This window comes from Homo sapiens, chromosome 6 (genome assembly GCF_000001405.40).
Source record: "Homo sapiens chromosome 6, GRCh38.p14 Primary Assembly".
In the NCBI taxonomy this organism is placed as follows: domain Eukaryota; kingdom Metazoa; phylum Chordata; class Mammalia; order Primates; family Hominidae; genus Homo; species Homo sapiens.
Window position 1 is genome coordinate 25,238,871 of NC_000006.12, and position 24,100 is coordinate 25,262,970.

General features: G+C 38.5%; 1 long non-coding RNA gene and 2 pseudogenes across 2 annotated transcripts; 2 read left to right on the forward strand and 1 right to left on the reverse strand.

Annotated features, from left to right (window-relative positions):
* Positions 1–6,045: 6,045 nt before the first annotated feature.
* LOC101928663 (uncharacterized) lies at positions 6,046–22,537 on the reverse strand. Of its 2 annotated transcripts, NR_110862.1 has the most exons (4): positions 22,254–22,537; positions 21,478–21,706; positions 16,319–16,436; positions 6,046–6,595 (listed from the first exon to the last, which is right to left on the reverse strand). It is a non-coding gene; the product is annotated as an uncharacterized LOC101928663 (long non-coding RNA). The 2 variants fall into 2 exon arrangements; NR_110863.1 differs by lacking the exon at positions 16,319–16,436.
* On the forward strand, positions 9,319–9,910 carry KATNBL1P5 (katanin regulatory subunit B1 like 1 pseudogene 5; annotated as a pseudogene).
* On the forward strand, positions 22,329–22,888 carry RPL21P68 (ribosomal protein L21 pseudogene 68; annotated as a pseudogene).

Below are 24,100 nucleotides of genomic sequence, written 5' to 3' on the forward strand. Positions count from 1 at the left end.
CTCCTGGGCTCAAGCAATCCACCTGCCTCAGCCTCCCAAAGTGCTGGGATTACAGGCATGGGTCACCACGCTTGGTCAAAAATGTTTTAATAAACAACTGTATATAAATCTTTGCTTGCATCTATGATTATTTCTTCAGAATAAACGTTTAGTAGCAGAAATTGAGTTGCTAGAGCAAATAGTGTTGTGCAAAATTATGTTAACAGATCAATAGGATATGCAGAAGAGTAATATACTTTCCTAAAGTATGTGACAGTTGTTGATAAATATAATTAATTTGAATTGTCAGTGTTTTGGTTGAATTGTGTGCTTAACAATCTCTAGGAAAACTAAAGAACAAACTGTCTGCCAAAAGTCTCAGAGAAACAGGATTATTACTTTGATGCTGGTTCCAAGGGCCTCCCTTAGCTTTCCTGGTAATAAATTATTGTCTCATATCACACTGGCAGAGAAAACAGTAAAATATTTATTTTGGAATATCTGCTTTCTATCTGGCAGGGATTTGACATTTTAAAACCTTTTCAAAATATTTTAGAACCACAAAATACAGTAAGCTTTGAATTAAGAATTAATTAGGGTTTTCTTTATCCCTACTGTTTGATCAATTTTTCAAAAGCCAAAAAAAAAAAAGTGCTACACAGAATACAATTAACTGTTAGTTTTCAGTAATTTTAAAGTGTGCTGTTGCTTAGAAGGCAGACTGGATCAGATGACCTCTTGGGATCCTTTCGAGCTCAGTAATTCTAACTTTTATATTCAATGAGTTTTATCTTGCACTTATCACCCATTGCTCAACCTGGCCCTTTCCTCTTTACCACATATTTTCTTTATGTCTTAATTTTCCTTTTATACTCACAGAGGGTGTCTAACCCTTTATTGGTATAATTATGGAAATGTTTTTATGTGAACATTAATCTAACAATGAAGGAGACAAGAGCAGAATGCCAGGTTCAGTAATGCTTATGCAGTCATGAGCATGAAACACTCTTAGAACATTTTATTTTATTTATTTACTTTTTTAAGACAGGGTCTTACTCTTTTGCCCAAGCTGGAGTGTAGTAGCGCAATCTCGGCTCACTGCAAAACCCCCTCCCCGGCTCAAGGGATCCTCCCAAGTCAGCTTCCTGAGGAGCTGGGATTAGCATGTGTTACCACACCTGGCTAATTTTTGTATTTTTAGTAGAGCTGGGGTTTCATCATATTGGCCAGGCTGGTCTCAAACTCCTGACCTCAAGTGATCCATCCATCTCGGACTCCCAAAGTGCTAGGATTATAGGCATAAGCCACCATGCCTCTTAGAACATTTTAAAAAATTAAGTCTTGGCTTGAAATCTGATGTAGTGTGACTATACTTGAGAATAATAGGAAATTTCCCAAATGCTAAAGACTTAAAGTACAAGAGAAAGTCAGTGTTCTTTTTTCATACATAACTTTCTACAGGAAAGATAAAAGAAAAACTATCACAATATTATGTATTATTTATCCTCGCTAGTTTATCAAACAACAGTTTTGTAATTTAATGAAATTCCTGTTTTCTATATGAGTATATTGCTCTAACATATGCTGTATATGATTAATGTTTCATTTGTTTGGCTAGTTACTGCTCATTGCTCTGTGTGTGTGTGTGTGTGTGTGTGTGCGAGACAGAGAGAGACCATGTTAAACACAGTATTATTCACCTGTTGTTCGCCTGTTGGTTAACGCTCTGGTATCCATGTCCCACTTAACCTTTCCCAACAGTCTACACTTCTATTGGAAATTTATTGTTACTCTACCCCCAACTATCCCATTATTTCAGGGATAAAATGAATGACATGTACTGCGCCCAAGAAAGTCTTATTGCCCTCATTGCAGTGATTAGATCAGTCATGGGTCTGTGGTCTAAGTCAAGTGCGAATTTCAGGATTTTTGCTGACAATTCTGGAACACATGTTTCTTTCTTTCTGTGTAGTGTGGGATGTGGATGTGAAGGGAGAACTGCTATCCTCACTTTGCCACCATATAGTATGTTCACCTCAGAATGAATCGAACACATTTTCTCTGACTTTACAATACAAAAAAATGTTTTTGAAGAATTGCCAGGCACTGTGGCTCATGCCTCTAATCTCAACACTTTGGGAGACCAAGGCAGGGAGATTACTAAAGGCCAGGAGTTCAAGACCAGACTGGCCAACATGGCAAAATCCCATCTCTACTAAAAATACAAAAAAATTAGCCAGGCGTGTTGGTGTATGCCTGCAGTGCCAGTTACTTAGGAGGCTGAGGCATGAGAATTGCCTGAACCTGGGAGATGGAGGTTGTAGTGAGCCAAGATCATGCCACTGCACTCCAGCCTGGGTGACAGAGCAAGACCTTGTCTCAAAAGAAAAAAGAAAAAGCAAACAAAAAAGAAGAAATTGGGCAGGCCCAGTGGCTCACACCTGTAATCCCAGCACTTTGGGAGGCTGAGGCAGGCAAATCACCTGAGGTCAGAAGTTTGAGACAAGCCTAGTCAACATGGTAAAACCCTGTATCTACTAAAAATACAAAAATTAGTCGGGCGTGGTGGTGCACACCTGTAATCTCAGCTACTTGGGAGGCTGAGGCAGGAGAATCACTTGATCCCCGGAGGCAGAGGTTACAGTGAGCTGCGACTGCACCACTGCACACTAGCCTGGGTGACAAAGCAAGACTTGTCTAAAAAAATAAATAAATAAATAAATCCAACACACAAGAGGCAAAATTAAAGAGAAATTTAACCCTGATTGATCTGTACCTAAAAGAATAATTTCCCTCTATTGTATAAGGAAGTTTGAATTAAGCTTTTGGTTACTTGCAACTGAAAATAAAACTACTGCAGGATCTCAGACGTGGATATGGCCTTGGAAGCACAGAAGAAGACAAATGGTTCTGGCCTTCTCCAGAAACAATACCTTGTAAGAACTTCTTGGTTTAGGAAGAGACTAAGGAAAGTATAAGAAGAGGAGATCTTTTACTTTCATTCATTGTTACTGACTTTTTGCTTAGTTGTTCTGTTCATTATTGAGAAGTATGTTTAAGTTTCCAACAATGATTGTGGATTTGTCTATTTCTGTCTTTAGTTCTGTCAGATGTTTGCTTCACACATTTTGAAGCTCTGTTAATTAGGCACATATACGTTTATAATTGCTCCATTTTACTGATGTATTTGACTTTTTTATTAGTATGAAGTATTTGTCTTTGTCTCTAGTAATACTTCTTTATTGAAGTCTATTTTGTTTAATCTTAATAAAATCACTCCAGTTTTCTCCAGTTTTCCATGCTACATATTTTTCTATCCTTTTACTTTTAATCTATTTGTGTCTTTGCATTTAAAATGCATCTCTTGTAGACACCTTATAATTGGTTCTTGATTTTTTTTTAATTCAGTCTTACAATAATCTCTGCCTTTTGGTTGTTTAGTTCATTTACATGTAATGCAGCAAAGGCCAGGCATGGTGGCTCACACCTGCAAACCCAACACTTTGGGAGGCTGAGGCAGGCAGATCGCTTGAGCCCAGGAATTTTAGACCAGCATGGGCAACATGGTGAAACCCCATCTCTACTACAAATACAAAAATTAGCTGGGCATGGTAGGATGCACCTGTAGTCCTAGCTACCCAGAAGGCTGAGATGGGAGAATCACCTGAGCCTGGGCAGCAGAGGTTGCGGTGAGCCAAGATCATGTCACTGCACTCCAGCCTGGGCCACAGAGTGAGACCCTGTCTCACAAACAAACAAACAAACAAAAACAAACAATATTTAATGCTACAAAGAAAGTTAACACAGCAGATTATTTTTATTTACTTCTTGCTTATTTCTGTAGCTATAACAGTGACTCTTGGTCTAATGCTAAGAACTAAAGTACTGTAATGTTTACCTCGTACTAGGTAATGATGTCATTCTATACACCCAATCCAGTAGGTCAATATGAACCAGGTGGTCAGCAGATTTAAAGTAAACATGAAGATTCATGATGTGCACCTGGTACCTGCTTTGGGGTATGCACAATGGCTACTGATGTGGCAGTTATGTATTAATGTGACACGCTCTCTTCAAGAATCTTGGACTCCAAGCCCCAAATGGGCTTTCCTGAATATGGAAATCTTGTATATGTCTTTACAATTTGAAGCTGGAGAGAGGATTACACCAGTGTGATAATCTTAGAAAGGGAGGACTCAGGAACCTGCACATGATCTCTCTAGCCTTTGCCTAGGTATATATTTTTCCTGCTGTTCCTGCTCTGTTATCTTGTGCTATGATAAACTTCAGCTATCCGGTTTAACTTCATGCTAAGTTGTGGTGAGTCCTCCAGTGAATCACCCAACTAGTGGGTGATTATGGGACCCCTGAGACAGATATAATTATTGAGATGGTGGTATTTATTTATTTTTTTATCTTTACTTTTATCTTTGAGACAGACTCTTGCTCTGTCACCCAGGCTGGAGTGCAGTGGTGTGATCTTGGCTCACTGCAACCTCCACCTCGTGGGTTCAAGCAATTCTCTTGTCTCAGCCTCCTGAGTAGCTGGGACTATAGGTGCATGCCACTATGCCTGGCTAATTGTTGTATTTTTAGTAGAGATGGGGTTTCACCATATTGGTCAGGCTGGTCTCGAACTCCTGACCTCAGGTGATCCACCTGCCTCAACCTCCCAAAGTGAAAGTTCTGGGATTACAGGTATGAGCCACCGTGCCTGGCTGAGATGGCTGTATTTAGATCTGCCATTCTGCTATTTATTGATTACTTGCTCAGTTATTTTTTGTTTCTCTTTTCATGCTTTGGTTTGTGTTAATCAATTATTATTTTATTTTAGTGTTTAATTTGTTCTTTTCTAATAATTTCTATTATTCTTTTGAGATTTCCTATCTGTTTACTACCTTTCATATTTTCCTATAATTCTTACAATATATTTTCTTTTAATCTTTTGACAATTTTAATAATAGCTACTTTGAAGTCTTTTTATGTTAAATTCAACGTCTGGGTCCACTTTCAGTCAATTTCTATTGATTGTCTTTTTGCCTATATATGGATCACACTTTCTTGTTTTTTCAGATGTCTAATACATTTTGGTTGAAAAGTGGACATTATAGATAACATGTAGTAGCTTTAGAATCTATTGTGTTCTGAAGATTATTAGTCATTTGTTGTATTAGGCAGTTGGAAGTTAACTCACCTGGAATCAAATTGCAAACTTTGTCTTCCCTACTATTCAAATGCTAATATCTTTGCCTGTTTTTATAGTCTCCAGCTGCTGCTTTTTTTTTTTTTTTTTTTTTTTTTTTTGAGACGGAGTCTCGCTCTGTCTCCCAGGCTGGAGTGCAGTGGCGCGATCTCGGCTCACTGCAAGCTCCGCCTCCTGGGTTCACGCCATTCTCCTGCCTCAGCCTCCTGAGTAGCTGGGACTACAGGCGCCAGCCACCACGCCCGGCTAATTTTTTTGTGTTTTTAGTAGAGACTGGGTTTCACCGTGTTAGCCAGGATGGTCTCGATCTCCTGACCTCGTGATCCGCCCGCCTCGGCCTCCCAAAGTGCTGCGATTACAGGCGTGAGCCACCGCGCCCAGCCCAGCTGCTGCTTTTTTAAAAAACCCTGGCCATTTGGGAGGTTTCCTCTTTTCCTGCATAATTTATTAGTCAACCAAATATTTGGACAGAGAATATACTCAGACTTTATGGCTTCTCTGTGACTTACTTGCTTCTAAGGATGCCTCCTCAATTCTAACTTCTTTGCCAACCTTGGACTCTGTTCTCTTACCCATCAAGCCTGCAAGGCTTTAGCTTTCTGCTACCTGAGCTGCACATTCTTGGAGAATAAATACACTCAGCTGAAAAGCAGAAAACTCATTGATCTTACTCTGGGTCATTCTATTTTTTGAAAGTAAATTTCTCTCTGGTTTCTGCCTGCTTTTATACTATGTTCTTTAGGTCTCCCACATGCATGCTCAGTATAGCAGGTGAATTGATCCAATGAGTTTTTAATTTCAGATATTGTATTTTTCTCTTCTAGAATGTCTAGTTGGTTCTTTGGTTATGAATTCAAATTTTCTTTTAACACACATCTTATTCTTTTTTATCAACTTTCATACATTTTTGACATATCAATCATGGTTAGTTTCAAATCATTGTCTGCTAAATCCAACATGATGTGTCTACTTCTATTTTCTGTTTTGATTTTTAAATCACCTTTTCCTGTGTTTTTGCATATCTAGCAATTTTGACTGTATTCTGTAGGATATATATAAATGAATCATAGAGGCTCCAGATGGCATCTTACTCCACCATGAGTTTCTCTTTTCTTCTGTAGATAGGGTGAGAGATTGATTACCTCAATCCAACCAGGGGTTTAGCTGGATTGGGACCACATTGTAATTTCAGTAAGCTAGGTCTTCTCTGGTTCACCCCTATTCCTTAGACATGTTCCTCCAAGGCTGTCGATTGAGACCCTAGAAGTCTTTGTCTCTTTAGTCCTGAAAGAGTACAGCACATTCTATTCTGCTCTTTGAAGATTCCAAGCTTCAAATGTGGCAGATTGTCTTGAGGTAGAATCCAGTTATGTGCTTGAAGCAGGCCCCTTCTCTCTAGTAGGATTTTGTCTCCTAAAGAATGCAGAATTATTGATTTCGTTCTACTTCTTCAAACACAGCCTCTTAGCTTCTTTCTAATAACCCCAGAATTCAACTAATGTTTCACAGGGACACTAACCACATTTGCTGCTCTCCAAATTTCCAATCTGTCATACCAGCCTTGCACAGTTTTATTGGTTTCTCTTTTCTCCGGCAGAGTCCCACTGCATAGCTAAGCCTGATGCTCCCTCAGTGCTTAGATTCAGCAAAGGGCTCAATGAAGAAAACAGCAGGTAATTATCAACTTACTCCAGAAGGACTTCCCATTCTCTCTGGAATTTCAATTCATCTAGTCTGTGTTGCTCTCACAGCTCTTTGATGTCTAAAAAATGTGATTTTTGTAATTTATCCAGTTTTCTGATTGTTGTACAGGAGCACTATGCAGCTATGACCTACTTCCACAAGTGGAAAGCCACTTATGGGCAACATAATCAAATTGGTGTCTATTGGCTGGGCACTGTGGCTCACGCCTGTAATCCCAGCACTTTGGGAGGCCAAAGCGGGTGGATCACTTGAGGACAGAAGTTGAAGACAAGCCTGGCCAACATGGTGAATCCCTGTCTCTACTAAAAATGCAAAACTTAACCAAGCGTGGTGGCACATGCCTGTAATCCCAGCTACTTGGGAGGCTGAGGCACAAGAATCGCTTGAGCCTAGGAGGCACAGGTTGCACCACTGCACTCCAGCCTGGGTGACAGAGTGAGGCTCTGTCTCAAAAGAAAAAAAAAAAAAAGCCCAAATTGGTGTTATTGCAGCCAGGCATGGTGGCTCATGCCTGTAATCCCAGCACTTTGGAAGGCCAGGGAAGGCAGATTGCCTGCCTGGGCAATATGGCAAAACCCGATCTCTACAAAAAAATAGAAAAATTAGCCCAGCATGGTGGTATCTGCCTATAGTCTCAGCTACTCAGGAGATTTAGGTGGGAGGATTGCTTGAGCCCAGGAGGTGGAGGTTACACTGAGTCGAGATATTGCCACTGCTCTCCAGCCTGGGTGACAGAGCCAGATCCTGTCTCCAAAAAAAAAAAAAAAAAATATTTTTTTAAAGGAAAAAAATTGGTGTTTATTGCAGTGACACAAAAACTGATCTTGATATTAGATCATACTAGCTATTTGACTCTAGATAATTCACTTAATATCTCTTAGGGATAATAGTGGCTACTTCTCTGGGTTCTTATATAGGTCAGGTGAAATAATATTTATATAAAGCACTTTCAAGATGCAAAGTGCTTTACATAAAAAGCAGTCCTTTCATTCATTCAAAGTCACTTATTGAATACTTAATATATGCTAGACACTTTACTAGGAGGTGGGTGGGAGAAATGAATAAGATTGGAAAACATGGTCTCACAAGAAGCTCGTAACTCTAGCAGGGAAGAATAATACATAATTAAATAACAGCATTATATTTTTACTATTGTAGATGTAGGTATAAGGTAAAATGGCACCATAGAGAAAGGAGTAACTCAGTATACTCTGATAGCGAAGAGAAATTATAGGACACTTCCCAGAGAAAGTGAGGATTTAGCCAAATCTTAGGGACTTCCAAGTGAAAATTAATTCATTGTTGTAGAGACTACCTGTTGTCTACCTGAATCCATTCTCTATCTGTTCCATAGAAGACAGTCATAGTTGGTTAAATAGCTATGCAGCTAGAGAATATAATCTCATCCTGCCTTGTACCTAGGTATGATATGGCCATATCAAAGTTCTCACTTAGATGAAAATAAGTAAACTTTGCCATGTATGGATCCTGGCCTTAAAACTATATATATATATGTATATTATAGTTTTAAGTTTTAAACTATATATATATATGTATATTATAGTTTTAAGTTTTAAACTATGTAAATACACACATACACACACACACACACACACACACACACACACACACACACATTCTCCATGCTGCTTCTCTCTTTAAGAGCTAGAGTACAGGCAGTCTTATTCTTAACTTCGCCATGCAGACAAGGATAGCAACCTAGGAGACAGCTGAGCAGCAAGATGAAAGAAACTCCAGTCCCTAAAAGGTCATATGCGTCAGAGACATCCTACTAACTCTGACTGCTCACCTCTAAACTGTTTCAAGAGAGAAAAGTAACTCCTGTTTTATTTAAGCCACTCTATTTTGGTAACTTTTTGTTACAGTATCTCATCTGTACCTAATTGCCCTAAATAAATACTTACAAAAAACAATCAGAAAAAAGATGAACAACTCAAATGGAAAATGGGTGAAGGCCATGAACAATTTATGTAGATGGCCAATAAACATATGGAAACAAATGTTCAAACTTACGATTAAAGAAGTACAAATGAAAATAAGATGTCTTTTTACCTATCAAATGATTATATGTACATAATACAACCTAGCAATTCACTTCAAAGGGTATTTATTTTAGAATATGGGAATATGTTTAGAGTTACTATAATTTATATAAGTCAGAATTCAGAAATAACTTATATTCTCAATACCAGGTTACTGAGTTAAATAAATTATTGTATAGTGGAATGATATTCCATCATTAAAAAATAATTTGGTATAGGCCCAAATAAGAGTAATCCCAGCTGACTGGACAGTCATGTTTGAATGACTATATTTGTAGACCCAGATTCTAGATACAGAAATACACTTTAAGAGATTGGGCCCAATGCAAGGATCAAAAAAATAATTGTCATTCTTTTCCAAAATCTTATTAGAGGGAAAAAACATCCCTAGAAGTTATGACTGTAACCTGGCAACTAAAAAATTACATGATTTGTGCAGGCCCCTGCCTGAGAAATTATTCCATGAACTGAAGTTTAACTGAAGTGGTTATGATTCATCACAGAGGACCCATAATAAAAACATAGTGAGTATTTTTCTGAGGCTTTTCATAACCATGAATCAATGACACAAGTTCTGGAATTTAACTTTGAATGTGGCTTCAAATTCTAGAGGACAAGAAGTGTAAGTGAACTTTGTAGCGCCCTTGGTGTTGTGTTGGTTTGTTTTCTCATGCTCATCAATAATCCACAGAAAGAAAAATAACAAATCTCACTTTGCTGTTGTGTTGAGTTGTTGCCTCTTATAAAGTCATTACCCAAAAGTAAATGGAGAATATAAGATAATTGGTCTAAATTTATTTTAAACTGTTATTTTTTATAAGGCCAAACCAAATGTGATGAAAATGATAAGATTTTAAAACAATTAAATGAAATATGGAAATGGGAAGACCATCTTACTTCGGTTTCAGAACATCCTAGTAAAATGGCTAAGTATGTAGAGGCATGTTTATTGTGGTTTCATTGAAAGGCTTTGCCTACTAAAGAGTGTTTGATTATTCAAAATATCTCAAAATATATAGTTTACAGAAAGATTCGGAGAACTATGAACTGTGGAGGGAATAAAACCTTTTTTTTAAAGCCACATAATGAAACCACCAATGAAACAACAATCTACTTCACAGCAAAGTGGAAAAACATCTGAAAGAACATTTTCAAACTCAATGGGGTGACAGTGCACTGTGAAAAATTCCTCCAATGAAATTTCTAACATTGTTTAAGAATGCTTTGTGTTGGCCAAGCATGGTGGCTTATGACTGTAATCCCAGTAGTTTGGGAGGCCAAGGCGGGAGGATCATTTGAGACCAGGAGTTCAAGACCAGCCTAGGCAACATAGTGAAACCCTGTCTCTAATAGCTGGGTGTGGTGGCATGCACCTATAGTCTCAGCTACGTGGGAGGCTGAGGTGGGAGGATCACTTCACCCCAGGAGGTAGAGGCTGCAGTGAGCCCCATGATTGTGCCACTGCACACCAATTTGGGTGGCAGAGTGAGACCCTGTCTCAAAAAAAAAACCCACAAAAAACAGAATACTATGCCTTCATATTGCACAATAACATAATTTATACTTCCAGAAAGACAGCATTTATTATTAAAAACAGCAAATGACAATCATCATTAATTTGTTTTACTATTATTTTATAAGAAAATATTTAAATATGTATAGCTATTTTCTTATGTTGAAAAATATTTAAAATATTTTTAATAGCAAATAATCAACATTAATATTTGTTCTCAGTTCATACTGAGATATTATGTAAGAAAAATACTAATGGCATTGATTACGATATTATTAATAAGCTAATATATGCTATTAGATAAATAACTATTAAAAATTAAAACCATTATGCTTCTGACAAGATAAAGTACATCTATGAAATATTGGGGTTTTATATTCATATAGAATGTTGCTGTTGAAACTAGCTTCACAGAGTTTATGAACTCAAGAATATTTTTTATTTCTCTGATTTTTGCCAGAATCAACATGACATGAACGTGTACATTGTATCTCTGTGAAAGAAAAGAGGTGCATATTACTTTGCAGATACTTAAGTTGAAATGTTTATGGAATTAGCTAATTTAGATTCACCTTTTTTACTGCATGCAGATTTCTAATATCTCTAGTTCTATGTCTTTCAAGTTTTATTTGAGTAAATTCATTCTTTCTAGTTTTTGCTTTTAAAAATTATTTTATGGAAGTTCATTTATCTACATTAGAGGATCTTCACAGTATATTAAGGGGAAATGGCAGGCTATGAGCTTATTTTGTGCAAATATGATATAAGGATAGAAAAAAGTCTATAGCGGATACTGGTTGCACAGTAAGGACCACTTGAGGAGCTTTTTTTTTTATTTTTGAGATGGAGTCTCACTCTGTCACCCAGGCTGGAGTGCAGTGGCACGATCTTAGCTCACTGCAACCTCTGCCTCCCGGGTTCAAGCGATTCTCCTGCCTCAGCCTCCCGAGTAGCTGCAACTACAGGTGCGTGCCACCACGCCTGGCTAATTTTTTGTATTTTTAGTAGAGACAGGGTTTCACCATGTTAGCCAGGATGGTCTCAATCTCCTGACCTTGTGATCCACCCGCCTCGGCTAAACATCCAATGACCAAACCCTACCTCAGCCTGATTAAGTCAGAATCTCTGAGTGGGTGTCCTAGACATCTGCTTCAATAGCTCCCCAGGTCAGCTAAGGCTGAGAACTACTGATTTAGAAGCACGCACACAGCCTCCCTGAACACACACACAGAGTACATCTACCTGTAATGTGGATCACAGGAAGTTTTATATTCTTCTTTTGGCTTATCTGCTTTGTCTACAATAAACATGTACATTTTCCTAAAATACACATGTACTTGAATGCACGTAGATGGAAGGGAGGGAGAGAAGGTGAAAGGAAAGATTTTTAAATTAATTTTAAAAAATTTTTTGTAGAGACAGGAGTCTCACTATGTTGCCCAGGATGGTCTGAGACTCCTGGCCTTGGAAAATGCTTCCACCTCAGCATCCCAAACTGCTGGGATTACAGATATGAGCCCCTGCACCTGGCCAATTAAAAAAAAAACTGTTTTAAACAAATGAACCCCACGTCAACACAGCAAGGATGCAAGACAACAGTGGGGGAAACACACATGGTGTCTTTCTGCCGTCCTCACAGGTGGCTGAAAAAAGCTTCAGGAGCAGAAGAGTGAGTCAGAAGGAGCTCACATCTGCTGAGTTTCTGTCATGTGTCATTGCTTAATTTTTCACTGCCTTTAATTCCCACACCTACCTCGCAGGGTTGATAGATGATTTTTCTCTTATAGATGGGGAAATGGGCTCTCAGACAGATGAAGTCACTTGCTGAGTCGCATGGCAAGCACTCTGACATACGAACACTGTCTGAGCCAAAGTCACTACCTGACTCCTAAAACTCACCTTCTGTGGTGAGGAGGAGTGGTGGTTGGCACCAGGGCTCTTTCCTTTTGTGTAACTAACAGAAAGCTGTTAATCTTTCTTGTTTTTTTTTTCACTTTCCTGGAAAATTGATACTTCATTAAAGCTTTCTAGATGCCACTTATTCTACCCAAGACCACCTTCTGCTGCTTATTTTTAGATGACTACAGATTCTTCATTCACTATGGAAGCTTCACAAATCACTTTGTCAGACAAATTGTTTGACCTTCCACTGGAGAGCAGTTGTTACCACTTTCTAATAATGGCCCATAAACATATTTTTTAAAACCACCCGGATTCCTTTGAAAACATGGCCAGGACAAAGTCTTGTCACTTGTGTCTAAATGCACGGTAATTTTGCTGTCAGTCAGCATGATTTGACAGCTGACAGCAGTTGATGATAAACAACAAAAGAAAAGGAGGGTCTAAGTGGCAAAAGCTACAGAAGCCAGACAGAATCAAGCAAGAAGAAGATATATTTTAGAAACAACAGCTCTAATAACTCTAATAAGTAAATTAACCATTTAAAATAGTATGTCAATCAAGTTTTTTAAATAAATGAAGCTGTGGAGTCCAGCCTTCTTTTTCACATGCTTTTTTTTTTTTTTTTTTTTTTAAAGAAAACCAGTTTTGCTCTGTCACCCAGGCTGTAGTGTAGTGGTGTGATTACAGCTCACGGCAGCTTCGACCTCCCAGGCTCAAGTATTCCTCCTGCCTCAGCCTCCCAAGCAGCTGGGACTACAGGTGTGCACCACTACACCTGCCTAATTTTAAAAATTTTATATAGAAATGGATTCTTGCTCTGTTGCCCAGGCTGGTCTTGAACTCCTGGCCTCAAGTGATCCTCCCACTTTGGCCTCCCCAAGTGCTGGGATTACCAGCATGAGCTACCACGTCCAGCTTCACATGTTTATTAATGCCGATGCTGTATATCTACATTTCAGTAATATATATTTTTGATTAAAGGAAACATTTTAAGTTAAAAGGATCAGCCTGAGCAATATAGCGAGATTCCACTAAAATATATATATATATAAACTAGCCAGGTGTGGTGTCTGTGGTCCCAGATACTCAGGAGGCTGAGTTGGGAGGATCACTTGAGCCCCGAGTTTGAGGCTGCAGTGAGCTATGACTGTGTCACTGCACTCCAGCCTGGGCAACAGAGCAAAACCCTGTCTCAAATAAAGGGAGTGGGGGAAGCATTCTGATTTCTTCCTGACCTTGTTCTTTATCGCCTCCCTCAAGTTCACATTATTTATTGGTTGGTGGTCCCAAATAACTTTAGAACAGCATAGTGGAACCCCAAATAACTTCAAAGGCAGACTGGCTTATTTGTTCACAGAATTTCAAATATCTAAGATGGTGCCCTTGACCAATTGCTTTTCCCTCTGATCACATTTGACCTCTGTCTTCTCAGACACTTTTATTGCACATGATGGTATAAAAAAGAGAACATAAGCTCTGGAGTTGGGCTGTTCTGGATTTGAATCCTGGCGATGCAAGTTATTGGTTATGGGAGCTTGACAATAATTGTTTTATTTCTCTAAGCCTTAGTTTCTACATTGTCAAAGTTGAAAGAAAACTTTTTCCATGCACTCCTTAGAAAAATGTCAGACTAAACACGCCAAGTGCCTAGCCCAGTGCTTGGTACAGGGTAGGCACTTAAAAAATGTTAGTTTACATCCCACGCCTGATTAACTTTAATGTTGCTCCCATCCTACTTCCATCTTCAGCATATTATCATTAAGACAGTGGTTCTCTCTGAATGTTATGCTACATCCTCCAAGAGACTACATGCTCGTTGGAAATGAAGACAATGCCCAGTCTTTTATAAAGATCTTGTAAGCCCTGGCTCCAATGATGGACAGTAACTGATATGCATGGCTAACCCAAACTTGTAGCCCAGTGTAATCTGGGTGTATGCCTAGGCTAGCGCTTGTCATATCAACTAGCTATTAATATACTCTGTTCAGAAAACCTGGCAATGGCTGTTACATTTTTTAGTTCTAGCAAGATATTTTCCGATATCCAGTAAAAACATAGATTTTTTAAAAACTATTCAAATCAATACACACTAGGCAGGATCATTTGAAAGTGTGCTCTCTGCAAAGTCAGCAAGTCAATATTTTAAGGAGGGTATTGATTTTTTATTTGTAAACACATGAGCCCAGGCTACTCTACAGGACCATGCTGTGGGCCTGTTCAGAGATGAGACCACATCATTAAAAAAACGAAACAACAACCAAAAAGCTTTGATGCGCTCTTGGACAGGATCCACGGCAAATACACCTTCAAGTAAATTGCCCCGAGTCTCAAAGTGTTCCAGATGCAACATGTTATTTTACAGTCTTGGACAGTTTCCAAACTATCTATCAACTGAAAATGATTCACTGATCTATGATATAAAGTTCTGTGTGCCTTGAGGGAAAAGATCAGGACTTTTTGAAATCTCATCTACCTTTGTAGATCAGAGCATATAGTACCATGAATTAAGTAGGTGTTAAATAACTGTGGGTTGGATTGAACTTATTGATCAGGGGTGATATGTTTGTTGGCAGAAATAATTAGTGAAATACTTTATTTTTATATTTTAATTTAAAAAGTGATGCTCACAATCTTACTGCAGCTGAGATTTTTCAAGGCTGGGGTACTTTCCATAAGTTATAGAGCTTGCTAATTATGTTTGGAGGTTTGAATATAGTTGCACATATTTAGAGTCAAATTCCTTCTATTAATAAATATTCTTGCCTGTGAGTATTTCTCCTTCAAATTCTGTCTTCTTCAGTTTCAAACAGTTTAAAACATAAACGGGCTTAAATCAAGCTACAAAATGTGACTTCTAAGCCAACAGTTGAGAAAGACCATCTTTTCTATTTCTACAAAAAAATAATGAGATGATTGAACATCATTCCAAATGGGAGTCATCACCTGTCCTAAAGATTGCTTTAAATAAACATCTCATTCAGTGAACTGATAAAGTGGTAAATTAGATACATTGCTAATTACTATGTTGTCCTGTAGCTGTAAGTAAAAGCCAAGAGGCTGGGTGCAAAGTGGCTCACACCTGTAAATTCTAGCACTTTGGGAGACCAAGGCAGGAGGATCGCTTGAGCCCAGGAGTTCAACCTAGAGTGAGGGACCAATTACTTCCTATTGAAAAGGCAAACATGTATTATAAAAAGCTTTGATATTTGGCCAGGCACAGTGGTTCATGCCTGTAATCCTAGCACTTTGGTAGGCCAAGGTGGGTGGATCACCTGAGGTCAGGAGTTTGAGACCAGCCTGGCCAACATAACAAAACCCTATCTCTACTAAAAATACAAAAAAGTAGCCAGACATGGTGGCAGGCACCTGCAATCACAGCTACTCAGGAGGCTGAGGCATGAGAATCGCTTGAACCCAGGAGTCGGAGATTGCAGTGAGCCGAGATGGTGCCACTGCACTCCAGCCTGGGGGATAGAGCGAGACTCTGAAAAAAAAAAAAAAAAAAAAAGCTGTGATATTCAATGCCAACGAAGCTTCAGTAAGACCGGTGCTCTGAGGCACTGCTGACGGCAACAGAAAAAGATACTTTCCTGGAAAGAATTTAGGAAGCCACAAAAAAGTTCCTAGCCTCTGATCCAACTTCTGGGATTTCATCCTAAGAAATTTGTCCAAAGAGGAATAAAAGCCATGTGCATGAACATGTCCATTGCAGCACAATTTATACTGACAGGAAATGAGAAGCAACAATATGGCAATGTTTAAGGAAGTTACAGTGTATCTACTCGATGGAATTTTAATTTCAAGAACAATTATCGGCCCCTGTAATCCCAGCACTTTGGGAGGCCAAGGGGGGTGGATCATTTGAGGTCAGGAGTTCGAGACCACCCTGGCCAACATGATGGAACTCTGTCTCTACTAAAAGTACAAAAATTAGGTGGGCGTGGTTGTGCTCACCTGTGGTCCAAGCTACTCAGGAGGCTGAGGTAGGAGGATTGCTTGAACCCAGGAGGCAGAGGTTGCAATGAGCTGAGATCATGCCACTACGCTCCAGCCTGTGTGACAGAGCAAGACTCTGTTTCAAAAAGAAAAAGAACAATTATCAAATCAATTGCAATATAAAAACATGCTTGGAAAATGTCAAACTAACAAATGAAAATTGTTAAATACAAAGGTATGTGTTGTGTTATAGCAACAGCTATGTAATCAATGAATATAATTCAGAAAGATTAGCCAAGGATACACCAGAAGTGATGGCAGTTGCTTTGTTAGAAATATAGCAGTATAGGAGTATAGGTAATTTAAAAGTATTTCTATTTCCCAAATATACCCTACTATGATTATATTTAATAAGTTTAAAATACTACATAAGGCCTTCAGAGAAGGAAATTAAATATCTTTTCCTATTTATTTTTCCAGTGAGCAATAAACTTAACTTTCAGTGAAGTCTTCCTTAAACACAACTTGCATTTCTCCCGCTTTGGCTTAAGTATATTTTATCTTGCTCTGTTGTAAGGATAAACATTTCCATCCTCTCTATTTGTTATTTTGGCTAAGGACACCACATTTCCATGTTAGAATTTCTTCAGTTTTTTTCTATTGCCTTGAGATTGCATGCAGGTATGTTGAGAACTGAGGATTTTAATTATAAATATACATAGATTTAACCTAATAAAGGACTTTCTTTTTGGAGGCATGTTTGACAATTGGCTGGTTAATGTACAATTGGCTGGTTAATAATGCAATCTGATGGTGTACTTATAACTCTAAAATTCTATGGTAGTTTCTAGGCTGTTCTTGAAAGGCTTATCATTTTAAGTAAGAAATCACACAAATAGGCCAGGTGCAGTGGCTCACACCTGTAATCTCAGCACTTCGGGAGGCCAAGATGGAAAGATCACTTGAGGCCAGAAGTTCAAGACCAGCCTGGGCAACATAGTGAGATCTCATCGCTACAAAAATTAAGCAAAGTTAGCTGGGTGTGGAGGGACACACCCGTGGTCCCAGCTACTCAGGAGGCTGAGGTGGGAGGATCATTTGAGCCCTGGAGTTCAAGGCTGAAGTGAGCTCAGATTGCACCACTGCACTCTAGCCTGGGCATCAGAGTGAGATCCTGTTTCAAAAAAAAGAAGAAAGAAAGAAAGAAGAAGAAAAAAGAAGAAATCATGACCGGGCACAGTGGCTGACGCCTGTAATCCCAGCACTTTGGGAGGCTGAGGCGGGCAGATCACCTGAGGTCAGGAGTTTGAGACTAGCCTGGCCAACATGGTGAAACCCTGTCTCTACTAAAAATACAAAAATTAGCCAGGCGTGGTGGTGTGCACCTGTAGTCCCAGCTACTTGGGAGGCTGAGGCAGGAGAATCACTTGAACCCAGGAAGTGAAGGTTGCAGTGGGCCGAGATCATACCACTGCAGCCCAGCCCAGGCAGCAGAGCAAAACTCCGTCTAAAAAAAAAAAAATCACACAGATATATCATTTAAGATTAAGGCAGGGATGTGGGCTTTCTTGTACGTGAGAGCTCTTCTCACCCTCAAACTAAGTAAATTGGTATTATTCAGCTTTCCTCATGTGATTAAAAAAAAATCAAACTTTATGGTTGTACACTGAAACTTCTCCAGGTTCCCTCTTTTCTTTTGAGTTGTGGAAACTTGAACTGTATTTATGCAAAAATAAAATATCCAAGATCGTATTCTTTTGGGGCCAATTCTGATGGTGGTATTTGCTATTGCTGTCTTTGGATATCTCTTTAGTTCTGCAGAAAACTTACCTACTAATAATGGTTAATAATGTGTGCCTCAGCAGCAACAGATGCAATAAGATTATAGTTAAGAACCTGGGTTCAAGTACTAGCTCTTTCATTTACTAGTTGTGTTCCCATTGTTGAACAAATAAATAAAACAATAAACTTATATTTCCTATTACTTGTTAATAAAAGTGAATCAGAAAGCCTAATGAGAATAAATGTTTTAAAAGATGATGAGGGAGCTTTAAAAAAATAAATTTTGCTGCACTCTAAGATGTAAAATATATGTAATTATATGTGCATGTTAGTGTGCGGATATCCAGGACATTGACACTAAGGTGATGGTTATGCAATTGATTGACACTGAAATATGTTGGTTCAGTGCCACTAAGGAGCCAGCCTCAGATCTTAAACATCTCAACAATTACTATGAGTCCATGGGGGCCATACAAGTTGTAGGCTCCTTATCACATTTGTCTTAAATAGTATTTTTTAAATTACAAGAACCCTTAGCCCAGATAATCCATGTTGTCATACAGTGAATAGATATCAGATGTGTTGACATGTTGGTTCTCTCAGCCCACAGGGCAGCCAGGCAGGGCCTGGGGATGTGCTCGATCCCCTGGGAAGACCTCCTTCAGTTGAGAGCTACCTTATCTGTTTATGCTGATGTGCTGAACAAATATAATCATTTTCTATGTGTGCATGTGATAGACTCTGGTCTCACTGCAGATCACGTCTACATTCAAGTAATATACTTCGATTTGTCTTGACTTTTCACACTAGTTCTCATTCTAGCTCTTCCTATTTTGTTTAAATTATTTATGCTTTTCTCACAGCCAGTGCTGCTTTTTCAAATGTGGGATGTCCAAGGACTGGAGCATCTGTTAGTGAGCAGCAAGGTTCCTGGCAATGTCTGTATGTGCTTGGAGGCATCATTAAAATGTCCCCGGAACTGTGACTTAGAGCTGGATAAGACAAGAGGGATATGTGGAATCTAACCAGGTCTCAGTTAGGAGACATGAAAAGAATTTCAGAAAAAAAAAATTAATCTTAAATTATTTTAATATAATCAAATAATAAAACAATCTAGAATGAGTTGCCGAATTAATCCAGCCTTGACACTTACGTAACATGTTACTTGGTTACATGGAGGGCGTGGGCTTGGAAACTTCCACATGCCCGTCATGGCTGAGAGGGAAATTGTCTTAGATGCCTCAGCTTAAGCTCCTTACCAAAATCTCTGGTATGATAGTGGGAAGACTGAATTGTTTTTTTCTTGAAAGTGAATTAGTCCTAAAAAGAGCTAGAATTTAGTACAGGAATGCTTTTTTAAAAGCAAAAAATTAGTTCTAATATTTCAGGTTTATGTTTGTGGATAAACTGTGACTAATGTGGTAGCTTTAAGTAATGTAATGTTTAAGAAATTCTGAATATATTAATTATTCAATAGATTAGCCAAATGGCCCTGAATTTAAAATTTGAAACATCACCATTGATCCAGACTTCTCTTAGGTTGAAAGCCTTAAGACAATTTTATGTAATTTATAAGGGTTCAGCATAAATACAAGATTATTAGGTTTATTATGCTTATTTAAATAACCAGGAAGGTTTCTTTGTAAGTCAGAAAACTAAAGAACTTAAAAAATTTGAAAATAATAAATGTATAAGTTACTTAAAATATTTAACAAAGTTTGCAAATCGGACTAAGCAATAATCAAAGGTCACCTTAAAAATGAATTTTATAATATTACCTTATTTATAAATTGAATTTTTAAATATATAAAATAAACTTAAATGTAAGGGGAAACTGGGCTTTTGCATTTGTTACTTAAATCAATCAAATGTTAATTTTAAAAACCAAAGTGAGCCCTGAATAATTTGGAAGAGGGTTTAGAGATGCCAAAAATTCCTGTTGATCAAAAGATATCACATCGAAAGGGTGATTAAAACATTTATTCCGAAAGGAAAATGTGTGGTATCCATTTTGTTAAAAATGATAAATTATAATGTTTTATACAAAATAAATGAATCTTATCATTGCCTCCTTATGACGAAATTAGTGTTTTTGTCATTAAAAATGAATTTGTTAGGTTTGCAGTCTCATTGATCTCTCAGGATTTAGAAATAATTATTTTTTGCTGAATTAAAGATAGCTCTATTTTTTAATTGTTATTAGCTTCAAAAAGAGTAGCAAATTCACAGGAGGGAAAGTTTAAGCTCATTTCGGATAAAAATTGGGATCTTAAGTTTAAGCATGAAGGACATCCACTCTCCCTTGCTTATTTCAGTCTCTCTCTCAGACACATTTAGAAGCAGAAGAGTTATGTATAGTTAAGTTCAGCCTCCCCTGTTTTCAGTGAGAAAACCAAGGCTAAGAAATGTTACATAATTTAAGTAAAAATATGTGGTGAGAGGTACAATATGGTGTGGTTGATAGTTGACAGGATTTGGTGTCATAAACCCTGTTGGGTTTTTTGTTTGTTTAAGATTTTTGTTGTTGTTGTTGTTGTTGTTGTTGTTGTTGTTGTTGCTGGGCGCAGTGGCTCACACCTGTAATCCTAGAACTTCGGGAGGCCAAGGTGGGCAGATCACCTGATGTCAGGAGTTCAAGACCAGCCTGACCAACATGGTGAAACCCCGTCTCTACTAAAAATACATACATTAGCTGGGCATGGTGGCGTGCAACTGTAGTCCCAGCTACTTGGGAGGCTGAGCCACGAGAATCGCTTGAACCCAGGAGAATTCCTTGAACCCAGGAGGCGGAGGTTGTGGTGAGCCGAGATTGTGCCACTGCACTCCAGCCTGGGCAACAGAATGAGACTCTGGCTCAAAAATTACCATATGTTTGTTTCCTAATAATAAACATTTATTGAATTCTTTAAATATTTCAATATGCTTTATATGTATTTATTTCCCTTAAACACCAGAGCAACCTAGTGAACTAAGTGATATCCCCATTTTATAGATGGGAAAACTGAGACTCAAAGCGATTAAGATAATGAGAGGATCACGTGAGCCCAGGAGTTTGAGGCTGCAGGGAGTTGTGACAGTGCCACTGTACTCCAGCCTAGGTGAGAGTGAGACCCTTCTAAAAAAAATTTTTTTTTTTAATATTCAGAAGATCTGATTTTAAAACTTGCCTTCATTACGTGTTTGTTGCCTTGTGACTCTGGGATGTCTTCCTACCAAGACCTTACCCTAGGTTAGCTCAGCAGGTTTTTGTGACGAGCAAACATAAACAAGTATAGGAAAACACTGTCTAAAAGTAATATATTATTCATTCACAATGGGGTGAAGCCTAGAACCCATTTATTCTGACTCAATTTAATGTTATTTTGCTGACTAATTCTTAATCAAGTGTTCTTTACCTTCAAATAATTTTATTTTCCATCTGTGCCCGCTTTTGCCTATAGTGATGAATATTTATTGAGTATGCATCTTGTTCTTGGCACCACGTAAGTATCACACACGTCAAGGTATATGAAAACTTGGCTTATGTTATCAAGAGACTTCATGGGATGATGAGAAATGCAGAAAAAAACTGAAATCCTGATCTTCTCTTTTTTCCATCACTTCTCTGCACCTCATATTTTCCATCTATAAAATAAGTGATAATACCACCACATGAAAAATCATAGAAAGAATTTAGCAACGTAACTAGTAAAAGTGAATACATACAAACCATATGTGATAGAATGGATGAATCCTACTAAGAACAGTTACCAGGTAACTGAAGCTAAACAACTCTCAGAGGACTGAGGGATGTTACATTTCTGACCAAGTAGAGTAGAAACACCTTGCTAAATACTTATGTATTCACTAAAGGCCCCAGAAAAGCTGCACCTTTGGAGCAAAGCTAAAATAGGGTACTCCACACCGACCCTAACAAAGATTAACAACAACCTTTAAGCCGGTCATGGTGATGCATGTCTGTAGTCCCAGCTACTCAGGAGGCTGAAGCAGGAGGACTACTTGAGCCCAAGAGTTGAGCCCAGCCTTGGCAATATAGCAGATCCAGTTTTTTATAAAACAAACAAACAAACAAATCATTTGAAAGAATCAGTAAGCCTGCTAGAAAAAAACTCAAAATAATATTGTTATGTTTAAAGGAAGATTACAAAGTCTAGACACTAAATGATACAACCTTCACCATGTCCATCATCTAATCCAAGATTCTAACGCAGAGAAGCAAGAAAATGTGACCCAAAAACAAAACCAGCCTTTTGGCCAGAACCGTCATCTTCCAGTAATTTGCCAAAATGATGAATACAAAGGCAAAAAGGAAAGGCACTGGATATATGTTCTCTAGGCCTTTACAAAAACATGGAGTTGTTCCTTTGGCCACATATATGCTAATCTATAAGAAAGGTGATATTGCAGACATCAAGGGAAGGGGTACTGTTCAAAAAGGAATGCCCCACAGGTGTTACCATGGCAAAACTGGAAGAGTCTACAATTTTACCCAGCATGCTTTTGGCATTGTTTTAAACAAACAAGTTAAGGGCAAGATTCTTGCCAAGAGAATTAATGTGCATATTGAGCACATTAAACACTCTAAGAGCCGAGGTAGCTTCCTGAAATGCGTGAAGGAAAATGATCAGAAAAAGAAGGAAGCCAAAGAGAAAAGTACCTGGGTTCAACTGAAGCACCAGCCTGCTCCACCCAGAGAAGCACACTGTGTGAGAACCAACGGGAAAGAGCTTGAGCTGCTGGAATCTATTCCCTATGAATTCATGCATAATAGGTGTTAAAGAAATAAAATAAAAGACCTCTGGACTATTTAAAAAAAAAAAAAAAAAAAGGCCAGGCGCGGTGGCTCGCGCCTGTAATCCCAGCACTTTGGGAGGCCAGGGCGGGCAGATCACAATGTCAGGAGATCAAGACCATCCTGGCTAACACAGTGAAACCCCATCTCTACTAAAAATACAAAAAATTAGCCAGGCGTGGTGGCAGGTGCCTGTAGTCTCAGCTACTTGGGAGGCTGAGGCAGGAGAATGGCGTGAACCCGGGAGGCGGAGCTTGCAGTGAGCCAAGATAGCGCCACTGCACTCCAGCTTGGGTGACAGAGCGAGACACCGTCTCAAAACAAACAAACAAACAACAACAAAAAAAATTAAACCATGTAACCAATAGAGATGTGTGTGTGTGTGTGTGTGTGTGTGTGTGTGTGTGTGGTGTTGTGTGTGGTTAGGCAAGCAAAAACAACAAAAAGCAAGCAAACAATAAATCTAACATTTAGGATCAAAATATTATTTGAGGGAGATGCAATGGGATGAGACAAGAAAGGCACATGTAGATAAATATAGGTTACTTATTCTGATTGTTGGGTTGGATGTTTATTATATTATTGAATGGTATTGTGAATGGATCAAGGATGATGGCATATAAACACCCAAAGTTTATGGTTAACACAATTCTGTGCATCTGAAGTGCAGGAGAACAAGGTGGGAAGTAAAAAAGAAGAGTAGAAAAGAACACAGCATTATGAAGTCTGTGGCAGAAAACAATATAACTTTCTAGAGCATAAAAAAAAGGCCAATGTGAGCACGGCTGGAACTGGAGGACGTTATGTTAAGTGAAATAAGCCAGGAACAGAAAGTTAAACACCACATGTTCTCACACATATGTGGAAGCTAAAAAAAAAAAAAATGTTGAGCTCATAGAAGTAAAAAGTAGGACAGAGGATACCAGAGGCTGGGGAGGGTCATGGGAAGGGTGGGTCGGGGGCAGGATAGGGAGAGATTTGTTAAAGGACAAAATTACAGGTAGATAGGAGGAATAAGTTCTATTGTTCTATACCACTGTAGGTAATACATAGTTTCGAATAGCTAGAGGAGGAGGAGGATACAGAATGTTCCCAACCCAAGAAATGACCATTGTTTCAGATGATGGATATGCTAATTACCCTGATCTAATCACCATACATTATGTTTCAAAACAATACTATATACCCCCATGAATATGTACAATTATTATTTGTCAGTTTAAAGG